General features: G+C 48.2%; 1 protein-coding gene across 1 annotated transcript, besides 4 other annotated features; it reads right to left on the minus strand.

The window, feature by feature from the left end:
- Positions 6,370-7,045: an enhancer, noted in NCBI's record as "H3K4me1 hESC enhancer chr6:137808523-137809198 (GRCh37/hg19 assembly coordinates)". NCBI's record gives its function as "activates a minimal SCP1, AML or CMV promoter by ChIP-STARR-seq in naive H9 embryonic stem cells {active_cell/tissue: H9 hESC(naive)}" and the evidence as "EXISTENCE:reporter gene assay evidence [ECO:0000049][PMID:30033119]".
- On the minus strand, positions 11,183-13,378 carry OLIG3 (oligodendrocyte transcription factor 3). The gene has a single exon (NM_175747.2). The coding sequence runs from the start codon at positions 13,152-13,154 to the stop codon at positions 12,336-12,338; it is 819 nt and encodes a 272-aa protein (NP_786923.1). The 5' UTR covers positions 13,155-13,378; the 3' UTR covers positions 11,183-12,335.
- Positions 12,288-12,787: an enhancer, noted in NCBI's record as "H3K27ac-H3K4me1 hESC enhancer chr6:137814441-137814940 (GRCh37/hg19 assembly coordinates)". NCBI's record gives its function as "activates a minimal SCP1, AML or CMV promoter by ChIP-STARR-seq in naive H9 embryonic stem cells {active_cell/tissue: H9 hESC(naive)}" and the evidence as "EXISTENCE:reporter gene assay evidence [ECO:0000049][PMID:30033119]".
- Positions 14,469-15,002: an enhancer, noted in NCBI's record as "H3K4me1 hESC enhancer chr6:137816622-137817155 (GRCh37/hg19 assembly coordinates)". NCBI's record gives its function as "activates a minimal SCP1, AML or CMV promoter by ChIP-STARR-seq in naive H9 embryonic stem cells {active_cell/tissue: H9 hESC(naive)}" and the evidence as "EXISTENCE:reporter gene assay evidence [ECO:0000049][PMID:30033119]".
- Positions 15,003-15,535: an enhancer, noted in NCBI's record as "H3K4me1 hESC enhancer chr6:137817156-137817688 (GRCh37/hg19 assembly coordinates)". NCBI's record gives its function as "activates a minimal SCP1, AML or CMV promoter by ChIP-STARR-seq in naive H9 embryonic stem cells {active_cell/tissue: H9 hESC(naive)}" and the evidence as "EXISTENCE:reporter gene assay evidence [ECO:0000049][PMID:30033119]".

Raw genomic sequence — 16,567 nt, forward strand, 5'->3', positions numbered from 1 at the left:
TTGGGGGGAACTTGCTTCTCAGCCCAGAGTAATCAAGCACTAAATTTCTTCAAGTCAGGAGTCAGAAAGCTTGGGAATTCCAACTTATGTTTCATAATTTCAAGGTTGAAGAAATAGAGTAAAAAGATAATATTATAGCAACTCCAAGAGGCCTGCATATACACATATCTCTTCTCCTACCAACACTCTACCACCTAAGAGAAAGGTGATGAAAATCTTGTAATAGGCTGGGCACAGTGGCTCATGCCTGTAATCCCAACACTTTGGGAGGCTAAGGTGGGCAAATTGCTTGAGGTCAGGAGTTTGAGACCAGCCTGGCCAAAATGGTGAAACCCCGTCTCTACTAAAAATACAAAAATTAGCCAGTCATGGTGGCAGGCATTTGTAATCCCAGCTACTCAGGAGGCTGAGGCAGGAGAATTGCTTGAACCCAGGAGGTGGACGCTGCAGTGAGCCGAGACTGCGCCACTGCACTCCAGCCTGGATGACAGAGCAAGACTCCATCTATCACGGGGTCAGGAGATCGAGACCATCCTGGCTAACATGGTGAAACCCCGTCTCTACTAAAAATACAAAAAATTAGCCGGATGTGGTGGCGGGCACCTGTAGTCCCAGCTACTTGGGAGGCTGAGGCAGGAGAATGGCATGAACCCGGAAGGCAGAGCTTGCAGTGAGCTGAGATCGTGCCACTGCACTCCAGCCTGGGCGACAGAGCAAGACTCCGTCTCAAAAAAAAGAGAAGAAAAAGAAAATCTTGTAATAATATTAGTATGCAATTCAAAAAAATTATTCTAGTTAACTTAGAATGTATTCAATTAGAAGACAAATATGATCATATTTTTAAAAAGTAAAAATGTATCCTCCTTAGACCCACTTTACCAGATATTAAGATATAATACTAAGGCATAGCAATAACAATATACTGATAGTGGCATAGAAATAGATTAATATACCAGTGATACAGAATAGAGAGTTCAGAAATGACCCATGAATACAGGAACTTGATATAGGATAAAGATGCCATCACAAATTAATAGGGAAATGACATATTGTGCAGTAGTCAGTAGTTGGGAAAATTGGTGTACAGATATTAGGCTGGGAGAAGACAGTTGTTACATCTAAAACTTTCAATATATGAACTATACAATAAACTCTTGAAAAAAAAAAAAAACAACAGAAAAAGATGGGTGACCTGATAGAAAGATGAGCAACTTGGGCAGATACAAGAGGAGACATATATATATAGATGTTCATTGCAGTGTTATCATTACAGGATGCTAGAGGGAAGGTAAGTTTCATCCTTAGGGAAAAAGTAAATGAAATGTGATGGAAACACAGTATGAAGCATTCTGCAGAAGTCAAGAGTTAGGGACAAGATTAACGAAAGGCAAAGTGGATGGATCTTAAAACATAACGCTGAGTGGAAAAAAAAAGTATTAAACAGATGAAGGGCTATACCACAACTCATGTATAAATTAAAAATAGATACACACACAAAACAACACTGCTTATTTTATAAAGATTCCTACATTTCATACACATTCATGGATATATATTAAACATATTTGAAGCATGTCTGGGGGAGAGGGCAATGGGACTAGAGAGTGGCCTTGTCCTAAATGATGATGACAGGGTGCCAAACACTGAGATGAACGCACTTATCTCAGCCCTCTGTCAGGAGACAACCCTCCAAAGGTCTCTTGCATTTCTGTGAATATTGTGATCAGAGACACTGACAAATTTCATTCTGGACTGTCTACTCATAGGTGCTTGTATAGGAAATAGCCTTAGAAGATGGAGACAGTGTCTCCCTCTGGGGTAGAAGGCATGTTTGTTTGCTACATGGGATACTAAAGATAATGTCTCATTCCAAAGCAAATGTTGGGCAGATTTGTTGGAAGCCCATTATAAAAGCTTGGGGTTTTCTAAGCTCAAGCTTTCTCAGATGCAACTCAATCCACTGCATGTGCAGCATCTCCCTCTGTACTGCCTTCCTGGGAATTAAGGAGCAAGAGGAGTGTAAACATGAAGCTCATGATACTTTCTGTGCCATGAGAAATCAAGTCCTTTGTTTCTGACCCAGGAGTCTCATGTCTTCTGCCAGCATCTGTGAAACCACAGCAGTCGTCTTTTGAACCTGCAAGTAAGGTAAAATCTCAGAATCTGTATTTCTAACAAGGTCTCAGATGATGTTGATGCTGTTGGGCCAGAGAACATGATAACCACTGGTCTAAGTCATACCAAATGTGTGGCCTGGGGAAGTTACTTAACTTTCTGTGCCTCAGTTTCTTTATCTGAAAAAATGAGAATAATGATACCAACTTCACAGGCTTGCAGTGAGAATTAAATGAGCTAATATGTGTCAAGGGTTTAAAACCATGACTGGCACATACTAAGCACTTTGTGTTTGCTGTGATTATCTATATAAATACATTCCTTAAGTCGACACAAGCTGGTAAAGCATAAATAGCCTCTACCATAATACCCCTATCACCTAGGAAAGCACTCTTATGACAATGCTGCTTTTGAAAGCTAAAGCACCTCTGAATGGCTTTGGTTCTGGAACACACTTCTGCATAGCTCATTTTTTTGTAACAATACAGGCTGGAAATGAAGATATGAAAAGAGGGTTGGGGGCTTCCTAGAAACCAAAACTAGTTGGAAGAGCAGGCAGATTGTGTGTGCAAGGACTTTGCAAGAAGGCCAGGAGAATGTAAACCCTATGTTTCCCTAAAGCAATGAAGTAGCCAGTGGAAGTGGGCAAATAGAGGGGCGTGATCACATGGAATGAAAATAAAGGCTGGAAGCAGAGAGGTAGAGAAGATAGCAAAAAGATGACTAGATAATTGAGAAGCAAGATAGAGGAATAGAGGAAGAAAGGAAAACTGAGGAGGAAGAACAAGGAGAAAAAGGGAATCTCCCATAAATCTTTTATCTCTTGGAAGTACGTAGGCATGGTCCTTTTTCTAAGTACTATTGTAATGACCTAAAGCCTATATAAGTGAAGAATAAACCAATAAGAGTAATTCTTGATGCCAAGTTACCACCAGAAATGTTTTCCATTTTTAAAAAGTGGCCACCACGTTCCTTGCCTTACCTGCCCCACTTAATCCTTTTCATCCCTGCCCTGCAGATTCTGCCTTGCCATTGCTTACTTCTGACCTCTTTCTTTCAAGCCTAAAGTATAGGGAAACATGGAATGTTTCATTGAATATTCTAGAGTCAACAAAGTAGAACATCCTTGCATACCATAATGGTATGTATTTTAGATGAGCAACCTTTATATAAAATTTCAAAGGAAGTTAATTCTAGAAAAAGAAAAGAATCTATAATGGTCAAGTAAATAATTATAAGAAAAACATCTCACCTCTCAATGTTCCCTCAGATGAAGTCTAGGTTCTCTGCAGTGAGAGTTCATAGGAACCAAAATTTAGAAAATTTAGCACTGTCCTGCTGATCTCTTCTACCCCTTCCTCCAGGTATTCCAGCACTGTCAGCATCAGCCACTTCAGGGCCAAATTAGTATGAAACCTGGCTGAGGTTTAAATAAAATTATTTCTAAAAAATATTAGGTCTCTCCATTTTTAATGTAATTTCTTGTGTTGAGATCTAGTATTTACTGTGAAAAATACACTAAATGTTTCTTAGTATTTTCTACTTAAAAACCTGCTGATAGCAATAATGATGAAAAGTTACTAGTCAAATAAAGATGGGAACATCAAACACTGGGGACTACCAGTGAGGGGAGGGTGGGAGTGGGGCGAGGGCTGAAAAGCTACCTTTTGAGTACTATGCTCGCTACCTGGGTGACAAGATCATTCGTACACCAAACCTCAGCAACACGCAATTCACCCATGCGACAAAGGTGCACACGTACCACCCGAAACTAAAATAAAAATTGAAAAAAAAAAAAAAAGAAAAGTTACTAGTCAAGTTAATATACTCTCTGGCCCTGAAGAGATCACATGTTTCAATTAAGAGCCTGGCAAACACTCCACAGGATGAAGAAAATGCTGGAGAACCAAGTACCTAAGGGTAAAAAATGAAAAAAAAAAATGTCTATATCAAAATGCTCTTTGGGAAGAGACGTTGCACATTAGTCTCTGCAAAGGAGAGAGGAAGAAACTAACCCACCTCTACCTGGTCAGACAGTAGAATTTCTAAAACTGTACTTAATTCACTCTGACTTATTAATAATATAATTTAGTAAAAATGGGAAACAAATTGCTTCCCTTTCTTCTATTTCCCCATGGACTATTTAGCAAGAGGGAATGGCTTCTAATTTTTCATGTTTGTGTCTCTACAGCACTGTAGGGAAGTCAGATTTTGAGAACATCATTGCATAGATTTGCCTTTAGTATCAAAAGGGGCAACTCTTTGCGTTACACAGGTCACAATGTCTGTCCATCTGTCTGGATCCCATTTTTCGCATGACTGGAATGAACAGTTAGCTATACAGAAAACCAGAACAAGAGTCCAGCATTGACTATGGTCAAACTTAGTTTAAATGGTGAGTCCCTTTTGATTCACTAGATTTTTATATTTTCCCAGTGAGAAAAGTGCCACCGTTCTACATGAAGCACCATTTAATGCCAATTGCCTATGAGCCGGCCTCCCTCATGTGTTTACCTTATATTGACTAGCTCGTATACCACTATCTGGTCCAGTCAACTGTGGCACGAAAGGCAAAGGATGGCTTTAACCAGTGCCTGACCCTTCAGCATCACTTCCTTAAGAAGTAATAGTGGACTTGGCAAACTGTGTGGCTCCATAGACTCTTCCTGCCATTGCCTAGTTCAAGCAAACAACTAATTTCTAAAACAGTTAATATCCACATCTTGATCACCTTCATAATACTCATCTCTATAGATGCTAGATTTCACCTTTCTGCAATGTTTTATTTAAATGGACCCACAATGACCAAACTGATACCAAATTGAAACTATTATCTTTTTAATTAGTGTAGGACATGTTTATATTTTTTTCTTAAAGAGATGCTTTGAAAATTCAATTTTTCCAATTAACCATCTCTGATGCAAAGTTAACTGAATGACTGCTAGTTTGCTTGGGCTCCAGTATATCTGATTAACTGTTCTATTTTAGAAATATATTTAATTACATCATGCAGTTTTCACCTTACAGGTGTGAAAAGACACAGAGACTAACAACCCAAACCTGCCTCCTATATTTTTATTCTCTTCTTTGTCTTTCTTATGACACTCAAATCCTGTCTTCTTAGATTTAAATTATTAATAGAGAAACAACTGGAGAAATAACCAAACCAAAAATTTATTACGTGATGGAACAAACTAATTAATACAAAAGAAGATTGGATAAATAAAATATAGTCAAAGCCCCAAATTAAAGAGAAAGAAATTCAACACAGAAGGATAAGGGGACAGAGAAGTCAAACAAGCTCTTTTTTTAACTTTTGTCCAAGAACCCCTGGCCTCAAGCTTTAAAGATTACCGGAAGCCCCAAAGGAGCTCCCTCCGGTCTTCTCTGAGGATCCAGCGCAGATCCAACAATTGAGTGCTGAATCTTTGTGTTCTAGGTGGGATTATTTATCAGGGATTTTGTTTTGTCTGGGTTTTCAATGGCCCGGCCCCAGCTGTACATTTGGGGACAGACCACAGCTTCAGTCAACAGAGGGTTTGTAGCGATCCATTCGGAAGCTTCCCTCCCCCTGCAGGGATGGAGTAATTAACAGACCATTAAGTCACTTCTGCTTTATTGAAGGGGATACTGTGCAGGTCATTTCTTTGAAAACTTTTGTTCTTGAAGGAAATTACAGGATTGTTTTATGTTCAGAACCACAGCCTGGTGTACTCTGGAGTCCAGAGGCAAATTTCTGTAGCTGGGGGAACTACAGAGACAAGGAGGATAATGACAGTAATCCCATTAAAAAAATATCTCCCCCAACTCCTCTTCTTTTATTTTTTTTCTTTAAAAAAACAGTTAAAAGAAAAACGATTTGCTCATTTGCTAATAACTAATAGGGACATGAAATACAGAGATGCCCCAGACTGAAATTTATCTCTGTGTCAATAAATCTCTAAACAACTGCCACGAAACCAAGTACTGCCACCATTGCTTCTTTTTATTTCCATATTAATCAAAAGCATCTGCTCCTGTCCTTTCCAGTAGAGGGAATGGGCAGTGAGTTTTCTAGCATCTGAAAAAGCGCCTGGAAGGACGTGTTTACAGCACTTGTGTTTTGTGCGGCCAGTAGAATTTTTACCCTAGGACTTAGGTGACTTAGGTAACCGATGTTTTCCCTCTAGGCTCTGAGGGCACAGAGGACAGGAGCTATTTCTTATGCATGTGAATGCCTTATTTCTCTTACTGTTTTACTTTTTTTTTTCCCCTCTGTTGTCGCTCCTAGCACCTGGCACATCGGAAGCATTCAGAAAATGTTCGTTGCTGAATTGGGGGAAGATTGAGAGAAACTCCAAAAGAAGTAATGCCAAGGCTTGTGTTGCTAGGAGTCCACTAGAACGCTATATGTTTACATTTGGTTTCAAATGATGGTGTGGATTTCCTTGTCCTTTCCCGGAGTAGACGGAAGGGAGGCGAGATGGTGGGAGGCTGAATAACCAGGAGGAGAAAGGAGTCGCCATAAAATGCACCCGCGCCACCCTCCATGTCCCCCAGTGGAATTGAGGATCTTGCTTGTGGCAAAAGTGCGTTCTTGGCACCACAGCCCCGCAGCTGGGGAGGGGGGCCTCAGTACCCGGCTTCCGCAATTTTCCAGGCGTGGAGGTGAGGGGTGCTTGCGTGTAAACTGTGGCAACCCCCAGAATCAGGCCCTGGCTCCTGCACTTTCGGAGGTGTCTGTTGCAGACCACGAGGAAAAGAGGGGTCTTACTCAAGTCAGGGCCGGACAGAACTCCAAAACTTACGAGGACAGCTATCCAACACTGCCTCACAGACCCTTAGGCGCTGCCCCCTCTTTGCCCCTGTCCTCCTGCGGTGCGAGAAACCCGACCACTCTGCTTCTACCCGAACCCCAGGACGCAACAGTAAAATCAAGGCCCGTCGTTGAACTCCCAGGTCTGCGCATCCCTCCCTCCTGGCTCCCTGGGGTCTTGGCCCCAGCAGGTCCAGTACCCATCCCCAGAGGGACCCACTACCCTGGGCGTCCCAGGGTGCCAGGCACGATGGCCTGCAATGGGGGCTGCAATTTAACCGAGGCGAGTTAAATTCCTTTTGCCGGTGCCTGGCTGCGAGGACAAACGTCCGTACTTTCGTTCGGGAGCCACGGGCAGTCCAGGGGCTTGGGTTAGAAGCAACGGCTCTCTTCCAGGGGCTGTGATCCGGGTCGGCCAGGGAGAGCGAGGCCCCGGGGTCCTCTGTGAGGTCCCCAGCGAAGAGACGCAGCTGGGGAAGGCGCCGCCCCCGGGCCCCCTGCGCCACCCTAACCGGGCCTCTCCTTAGCAAAGTTGACAAATTCTTGAGAGTGTCAGCCCAGGGCTGCGCGTGAGGGCGCTGGGACCGGGGAGGAAAGAGCACCTGCCGCGCTCAGCCCGACTTTGAATTTGTTTGTTGTTACCGTTTTTGTTTTTCCTCCCAGTTTCCATAAACGCTTAGTATTTCGAGGCACTTTGCAGGTGTTGGCGCAGGTGATGATGGGCCTCGTTGGACTCTGCCTCCCACGCATCCTTTTGTTTTCTGCGCGCCAGCCTGTCTGACTGTGTCCTGCGGGGACCCCGAGACAGTCCGGGGTCAGGGCGTAGAGACTCATGCTTGCCACTTGACCCATCCGCAACCCGGGGACCCCCTAGCCCGTCGCGGAGCTGGAGTTTGGGCTTCCGGCTCCCAGCTCTCCGCCCTGGATACAGGAAGAGGGCGGGAGAGGTCGCGCACCCGCGCCGCTCGGCGGGGATCGCTCACAGGGGCTCCGGGGCCACCGCGAGCGCGGACTGCGGCTGCTGGCGGGCTCCTTCGTCGTCCAACGCACCCCATCCTCTCCCGCCCCGCAGTGTCCCAGGGAAGGCTTCACTGAAAACAGACGCTCGACGGAAAACTGACTCTGCAGGCCCGAGCTTTCGGAGTTTGATTTCTGTGGGCCCCTTAAACGGGCACTGGGTACAGGAGAGGCCCCAACTCTCTGCAGGGACGGGGAGGGAAGGGCACTCACTCTCCCGCAAGTTTTCCTAGAGGCGAGCTGAAGATGCAGGCCACCTCCCTCCCGCACGGCCCCTCCCTTGGCCTAGTTCTGTCCAAAGACACTTCCCAGCCCTCGAGCGGCGGCTCCTCCACTCGATTCCTGCCTACACGTGAAGAGCTTGGACCCAGCGGGGCTGCACTCGGGAGGACAGGCCCAGATCCTGCACGGCCGGGAGGACACCTGGCCCCGCTGTCTTCTCTTCACAGCTCCCCTTTCTCGGCTTCGGCCTGGAGCGGTGCAGGGAGGGGTGGACCTGGGGTGGCCTTAAGATATCTAGCCTGGGTGCGGAGACTTGGGAGCCCACCCTTAGCAGTCACTCCTCCTCCCCAGTGGAGGGTGAGAAAAGGGGAACAGAGGGCCCCGGAGTCTCTGGAAGGGACGTGGAACGCGAAGTTAAATGTTGGTGTCTGAGCGATGTGCTGGTGGGGCAGAGGGGGTTCCAGCGTCCTCCCAGAGTGAGGAGGCTTTTGCAATTTCTGCTGAATGCGTCAGTGGAGGCACAAAACCTTGCTTGACCTAGCAGCTGGGAAAAAAAGAAGTTCGAGGGGACACAAGGCCCCCTGCTGCTGGAGCGAGGAAACCCTGGGCTTGGCCAGCTCGGGCCGCTTCTCCCTGCCCGTTTGCGGGCTGTCGGCCTCAGCGGTCCCAGAAACAAAGATCTAGTGAGCCCAGCCGACGCCGGCCTCATTTTCCCTTTCTAAGGGTCACTTTCTTCCGCCCTCTAAATTAGGTCATCGCCTGGGAAAGCGCCGAGAGGTTTCTAGTGTGGGCTTCTCAAGGTGTCTCCGCCCAGGAGGATTTCGCCATCCATTTAAACGTAAGGCGGGGTTTAATCTGGAATGAAAGGATCGTCGTGGTGTTTCCAGATTGAATGAAAAACTAAACTTGCAAAATTTCGAGAAAGTGACAAGTTTACAACGAAAAAAAATCCCGGCCGAAACCCATTTTCACCTTTGCGGTCATGAAATCTTTTTTCTGGCGTCGATAATTCGAGTATTTAAAGGGAAGTGCAATGACAGTAAAAGTCTGCCTGCAAACTCACATGCCCAGCAGACCCGCCTAGGCATCAAGGGAAGGGCCTTCCCGGAGAGCGAATGGAGATTATTTCTTCCCAATAAATCCAGAAACCTCAGATGACGTGGCTCTCAAATCACCTTCCTCACTGGGTTCCTGTCCTGTACTTAAAGAAATCCTCTCTTCTGGTCTCGAAGCCAAAAGAATTTTTGTATCCCAGAAAAGAGCTCTGCTCACTTAAGAGATCTTCTCGATATTGGAAGTGGTGTCTATTTCCCATTTTAGTTGCAAAATTTGCAATAGAGTTCCCTGTGCTCAAGCTTCCTTTCAGCTTATGTGAGTGGACATCACAGCTCTTTAAACTGACCACTGCTGTAAATCAAGGATTTCCTGTCTCAGCAGCACAATCACAAAATCCACGACTGTCCTAGTGTAAAGAATGTGGCTTTATTCCTTTGCATAACCCAATTTAAGACTCAGTTTTAGAGAAGGCATGAGGCCCACCACTAGGCCAACTGTAAGGCACTGAGTCTTTCCCCAGAACCAGGCCTTTGGAAACAGGACTCAAAAGAAGCAAGTGGCTAAGGAGAAAGTCGTTTTCCTGATTGATGAAACTTCTCCCACCCCTCCCCTTTCTAAATAATAAACTCTGGGGAAAGACTGGAGGGCTGCCTTGTGTTGGTTTCAAATAAATCTTCAATAGGCTCTTTCCTCACCCAGAGAAATGAATCACCCCTGGGAAACAGACGATTATTCCCCCATTTGTCTGCCTAAAACCAGTGGAAACAAGTACCCTCCACTGTAGATGCTAACTTAGGTCTTTCGCCTGGCTGAGAGTGGGGTAGCGATGGGAGGGTAAAAAGGGATGGAGGGGGATGATTTGCATAGAAGAGAAACCCACAGAGATGCTCTGCCTGACAGAGGCAGTACTGGGTAGGCATCAGGGACCCAGGAAAGACAGGGCAAACGCAAATGCTTCCTAGACGTGCTCTCCTTGCTGGATTCTAGAAAGAGACCACAAGCCTCCCCCCATTGGAGAGGAGCTTTGGCCTCAACCAACATCTAGGTGATGTTACAACTTATTCAGAAGCAAATCCTGGGGTGTTGCATTTCAATCAGGGTTCTATTTTCTTCAGAGGGAAATGGAGGCTTGTGTTGTTGGGGCTATCCTCACTACAGCTCGATTTATTGTCCCCTTTAAACAAATAGACAAAACTGTCTTGCTGGATTACTCCTGCTTAGACAAACCATTTAGAAGTGTTATGGCGGGAGGTGAAAAGAGAAAAGTAGTTTATTAAAATGACTCCCGTTTTAGCTGACTTTTTTGTAGAAGATGCCCAATGTATATAGCTAATCAGACCAGCAATCTTCTAAGGGAAGAAAGAAGGGAGGATTCTCGCTATAAATCTGCAAGATTCTGAGACTTGGGTGGTGGTTTGACTCACCCGGAGCTCACCTTACAAAGCAGAGAAGCCTTCCCTTTCTCTGTAGGCCATGCTTCCGAGGGTGCAGGCAAGCAGGGTGAGTATTTGACTATTTTCTAAGACCACTCTTTGTTGACTTTTAAAATGTATACTAGATTTTAACATGGGGGGAAAAGCACAAGTTCAATTTAAAGTGAAAAGAAGTTAACGTACTGCTTCATCCTTGTTTGTTGCCAACACAGTCATCGTAGTGACACTCCACCTCTCATTTCCTGCCACTTTAAGTTTCCAGATTACTTTTTAAAATTCAATTCTCGAGTTTATGAGGGTCTGATTACTGCAGAGAAATGAGCTCAAATAGCATAATACTATGAATGTGGGCAATGCCCGCTTGAAGGACATTTAGTTCCAAAAATCAGCACCAATTTACCCATCCTGTTTACTTGTACGTAATCACGGAAAACCTTCACATCTGCCCACCCATCCAAATTCCTCACCCAGATACACCTTACCTGGTCCACGTGTTTCCTATCCCACTACCCCCATCTGCTAAGATTTTAGGCAAAGGCAAAGCCACGATTTAAAGGTTCTTTTTTATTTGAAATCTCATCCAGAAACACTGGTTATTAATAAATATATCATAGTTATCAAGAATATATAAAAAATAAAGACAGGTATCGTCTTTGAGGCCCTAACAAAATATTTCAAGCAAATGTTCAGGAAAATAAAAACGGCACCCCTCCCAAAACCAGGATAAGTTTTCAAAGCTGATAATAGAGAGAGCCAACCCCGCATGCAGAATAACTGAGCGAGGGGGGGTGGCGCAAGCTACTAGAGGGAGCCCAGGCTTTTACAATAGCGGCCCCAGAACAGCAAAGGAAGGTTCCGAATAAAGTTTGAAGGGGGTGGGGGTGGGAGAAGAAGCGCGTGTGCGTGAGTGTGGGTCTTTGCACTCTGCCCCTTTTTTCATTTCATACAACCACAGACAGATATATGGAGTACTTGGGATAATTCACTAATAAATCCTTGTTACAAGGAAAACGGCACCACAGCCTGCACGACATATTCAGACAAGATTCATTTAGAAGCGTGCATGCATTCTTTTGACCTACACTGCGTCGAAAGGAAAACCCACATAGGAGGTGTCATGCCCTGGACCTCGGTTGAGATTCAAAACTTGGGTCTTGATCTCTCTCGCGCTCTCTCTCTCTTTCTCTCTCCATTGTCTCTAGAAAAACTGTGGCAAGGACAGAGACAATCATAATCGCATCCATCTCAAGAAAATATTTACATTTGTTTTGCACAAAAGGGATGGCCGTCTTTTTCCAAAGCGAGAACACAGAGTCAGAGAAAGCCAACTCAAAAGTCCCTTCGCAAGTTTTTAACTACACCGATCCCATCTTTATACAACAAATGCAGTTTTGACAAGAGCATATGGCAGTGAAAAATACTGGCGCGGCATGGGGAAAAGAAGCATGCATGCAAAACACACGACATCTGGTTCGAGTCCCCCTTTGCTACCACCTAGAAATTGCGGTTTGATTTTGGTCCTTTCCCTCCGGGGGTCAAGTGGAGTCTGAGATCTCTCAGACAGCGTGGGAGGCTGCGGGCCCCGGAGCCTGCCCTCCCGTGGGCCGAGCGTGCAGCCTCCCTCTTCCCTCCCGGCCCGGCACCGCGGCCCCTCCCGCCGCTCTCCCTCCTCCTTGGCAGCCGGGCCCGCCCGCTGCTCACTTGAGCAAGTCCTTGGACTCGGCCGACAGCCGGGCCATGTTGGCTGTGGAGAGAGCGGACAGGTGCGGCGGCGGCGGCATCTGGCAGATGGTGCAGGGGCAGGGCAGACCAGCCCAGTGCTGGAAGCCGCTGCCCAGCTGCAGCGCGGGCGGCGTGGAGGGCGCCTTGAGTAGCGAGTGGGGAGGCCGGATGGTGCCGATGGCGGGAAGTGAGGCGGCGGACAGCGGTGACGAGGCGTTGCCAGATGAGAGCGCGCCGCCCAAGATGGGGTGCACCGGGTGCACGGAGTTGGCCGCGTGCGCGGGGTGGCCGGCCGAGTGGCCCACGGTCCCGCAGTGAAAGGCCGAGTGGTGGCCCCCATAGATCTCGCCAACCAGCCTCTTCATCTCCTCCAGGGAGCTGGTGAGCATGAGGATGTAGTTTCTGGCGAGCAGGAGTGTGGCGATCTTGGAGAGCTTGCGCACCGACGGCCCATGCGCGTAGGGCATGACTTCGCGCAGCCCGTCCATGGCTAGGTTCAGGTCGTGCATCCGCTTGCGTTCGCGTCCGTTGATCTTCAGCCTCAACTGCTGTAGGTCCTGCTCCGACAGCTGCTTCTTGATTTTGTACTTGCTGCTCTCTCCCGCGGCCTTGGCGCCAGCCCGCGAGAGGCTTTCCCCGGGCATCTTCTGCATCATATCGCCCTGCGTGGACGAGACCGAGTTGAGACGGCTCTCCTGGTGGTGGTGGTGGCGGTGGTGGTGGTCCCTCAGGTACATCTCATCCATGTCCGGAGATGAAGCTCTGCTGGAGACAGAGCTCGAATCAGAATTCATTTTATTACAGGGGATGCGGCCCTACCGTGGGGAGGCTTTAGGCGGGAAATTAAAGAAAATCTTGAATTAAAAAAAAAAAATCTGCACTGCCCAGGAACCCACTTCTCCGCGGCAAGACGTGAGAAGAAAAGCGGAGACGCTGCTTTTCCCCGCCTCTCTCCCTCCCACGCCCCTCTCTCTGGTTAGGCTGCTTCCTGGACAGCTAGTTGGTGTGTGCTTGAACTAACCTCACGCTGAAAAAGAGGGGCTTTTATAGAGCTGCGGCGGAGAAAAGAGACAAAAGGAGCCCTCCTATCTATCCTGGGCTGGTTAGGATGACGTGCCATCATTCAGGGCGGTGCGCTTTGCTGTCCCATTTAGCAAGGATTCCTATTCATATTCATTGTGGGGCCGCCCTGGGACACCTCTGCTCCGAACCGCTAGGAGCCCCCAGGCACAAAACCCTCTGATTGACACACTCACCGCTCCAGCTTACGCCTTCCTGATTTTTTTTTTAACTTTCTTCCACCCCACCCCCCTTCCCAATTTCTCTAACCAAATCACACATCAGGAACGGAAGGAAGGCAAGAGAAGGTGGCCAGGCGGTTGGTGGAGGTTCCTCTGAGTTTGGAGAGAGGAATTGAAACATTCGCTCTCCTTTCTTTCCTGGCTGCTCCCAAGTTTAGAGAAATATGGGCAAAAATAGGTCTCAGTGGAAAGGTTTGAGGGACAGAGGTGCGGTCGGAGGGAAGGTGCTGCCAGCGGGGGCTGGGGGTGGTGGGAAGACTGCATGCCGACTTTCTCTGTCTCAATATTTTTTTTTCATTAGATCTCTTTTCCTAAACACTTCCATTCTGTCAATTTTGTTTATTGGGCCCTTCTGGTGTGGTTTCAACGGGATGTCCATGTTCGGTGATGGCTTTGCTCCTGGCAGTATTGTGGCGGAGAGGTCTCTTATTTTCTGTGTCCTCTCTTTCGTTTTAAAACATGGATTTCTAAAAGAATTTCAGTTTTGCACAATTCTTTAACTTCCTAGACCAAAAACTGCGAAAAAAAAATGTTAATGTCACAAGAAAAGCAACTTGGGAGGATGGGAAGGAAAAGGAGCCAAGGAGGCAGAGAGAGAGATTGTTAGGTTCCTGAGAGCTCCAGAGAGATTGTTCCCACTCCAGGCTTCCTGGACCTTGGCGCTGGCGCAAAACGGTGGGACGGTCCGCGCCCGAAGCTCCGCCGGGCCTCCTCTGGCCGCTGTGCTGACGTGCCCCGAGCTCCGGGAACTCAGCGGCACCCCGGCCTGCGCGGGTGGGTCCACCAGGCTGGGGCCGCCGTACGGCGTCGGACAGGGAAATCAGAAGCTCATAATAAACTATCTGATGTCGGGGTGGTGGGGCGGGGGGGTGGGGTGCGTGGGCAAAGAAGCACGGGGGAAGGGAAACAACGAAAGGACCTAGAAAGCCCCTTGTGCGTGCCCGGGCACTGCGGTTCAGCGCAGAGTCGTTTCTGGGAATAAAGAGGAGGTCGGAGTTTGGAGCCTTCGGTGCGAGTGCGGAGGTGGGCGTAGATCTTTCTTCCCCCTTGCTGTGTTTTTGTGATCAAGACTTTAGCTCAGCAGCACGAGGGGCGGGAAGGCAGAAATCCCGGGAAGGGAGAGAGCCCCAGGAGTGGTCTCTAGAAGAACCCGGACACCGCCCCTCTCCCGGCTTGGTGGAACGGGAAACAAACGCTAGCTAGTGACTGAGAGTCTCGGTGGAAGTGTGAAATCGAATCAATCGCGGAACCTCGGGCACTTGGGGCCTCTTGCGCCGCTGAGTCACTTCGAAGAACAGGATGCCCCCCTTTCCCTTGACTCAAACCGAGCGGTCAGTGGGAGAGGGATGCGCGCCCAGGTCCGGAGTTTGCACGCTCTGAGGCTGTGCCCCACTGACAGTCACGCTGCGAAGGCAGCTCTGGCCAATACCAGAAGGATGGGCAAACGCAACATTGGCATGGATGCTTTTGCTACACCGAATTTTGTTTTTCTGTAATGGGGGAAAAATGGCCAACAGCCCTTCGTCAAGGCCAGGAAGTTAGTGCTCTTGCAGATTGGACAGGAGCCTCTTCTACCACCTTCATCTCGGTGGAAGGAAAGTTTCTTAATTCAAGAGGTTAGATTGGATGTGGAAAGACTAATGTCCAAAAGCATTCCTAATACCAAGCATAAAGAATGTTTCTTAATTCACCAGACTCGCCAATAAGATAGTGACATACACTAAGTCTTCCTGGTTATTTAAAAAAGGAGGGGAGGGGGGAAGTGCTCCAGAACTTGTGCAGTCCCAGGTGATGGGAGGAAGCTAGTGGCTAGTCCTAACGACAACCCTCTGCGACTCCCCTGCTGATCAAATGGGGTGAGGAGAGAGAGGCGGACGGGGGAGGGCATTGGGAGCGAGCACTGGACTGGACGAAGAGCAGCTTCCCCGCCCTGCGGACGGTGCACAGGTCTGGCCCCCGCCGTCCTCCTGAGCCACCTCCCTGACCCTAGGTCGTCGGCGGCGTCTGTCCTTCCCACACCCAGACTGAAAACGCTGCACCTGAGTTTTGATTTGGGGAAGTAGAATTGTCTGGTCAGAGCAGAAGGGTTGCAAATGAAGGAGTGGAAAAATCATGTTGCTACAAGATATTTTACCCTTTAAAAAAAGTCTTGATTTTCCCAGTGGACAATGTAAAATAAAGTTTTAAAATCTCCCCCAAATTAGTAACGAAGGTGGCAAGCCGTGGGCGGGGGGAGGGGAGGGAAGGAGGGTAGAGCAGCCCTCGAAATACAAGCTTGCGGGGCTGGAAGTCCGGGGCCAGGGTTCTGGGAGTCCAAACCAGAAGCCACTCTCCTTCAGCACAGCCTTTCAGCCGAGAGGGGGCTGACGCCTGCCGCAGCCGGTTCCGAGGGGGCTGCGATGGGCCGGGAAGGGGCGACTGGGCCTTTGCCCGAACAGACCAGGACATTCCCTTCCTTCTTCCCTAAGGGTTTTCAGCTCCAGTAACAGAGGTGCCTGAAATGGGAGATCTGCGGGGACCAGGCCGGGACTCCCTGGCTCCGAGGCCGGGACGTGGCGCGCCCTCCGCTCCTCGGTCACCCTCTGCTTTTTCGAAGGTCCGTAATGCGTGAGTGTGGGTGGTCCAAGGTTCAGGGCCTCCTTCCAGTAAGTACTTTTAGAAGCTAGTTCCCCCACTTCCCATCCGTTGCGGGGCTTGACAACTAGACGAGGGGAGTGAGTAAAGGTGCCACAACTTTGCTTACCGTAAAATGGGTTAATACTCGCCGGGGCCCAAAAGGCTGAGTCGCCCCGCACGTCTTGCTTCGTGGAGTCTCTTTTCGACCCCCGCCACCGCAGCTCAGTTCCTCGGATTGAGCCCTGAACCCGAGAAGGAGCAGGCCCGGAGCTCAGGAGGGCAGGCACACG

Source organism: Homo sapiens, chromosome 6, assembly GCF_000001405.40.
Source record: "Homo sapiens chromosome 6, GRCh38.p14 Primary Assembly".
In the NCBI taxonomy this organism is placed as follows: Eukaryota; Metazoa; Chordata; class Mammalia; order Primates; family Hominidae; genus Homo; species Homo sapiens.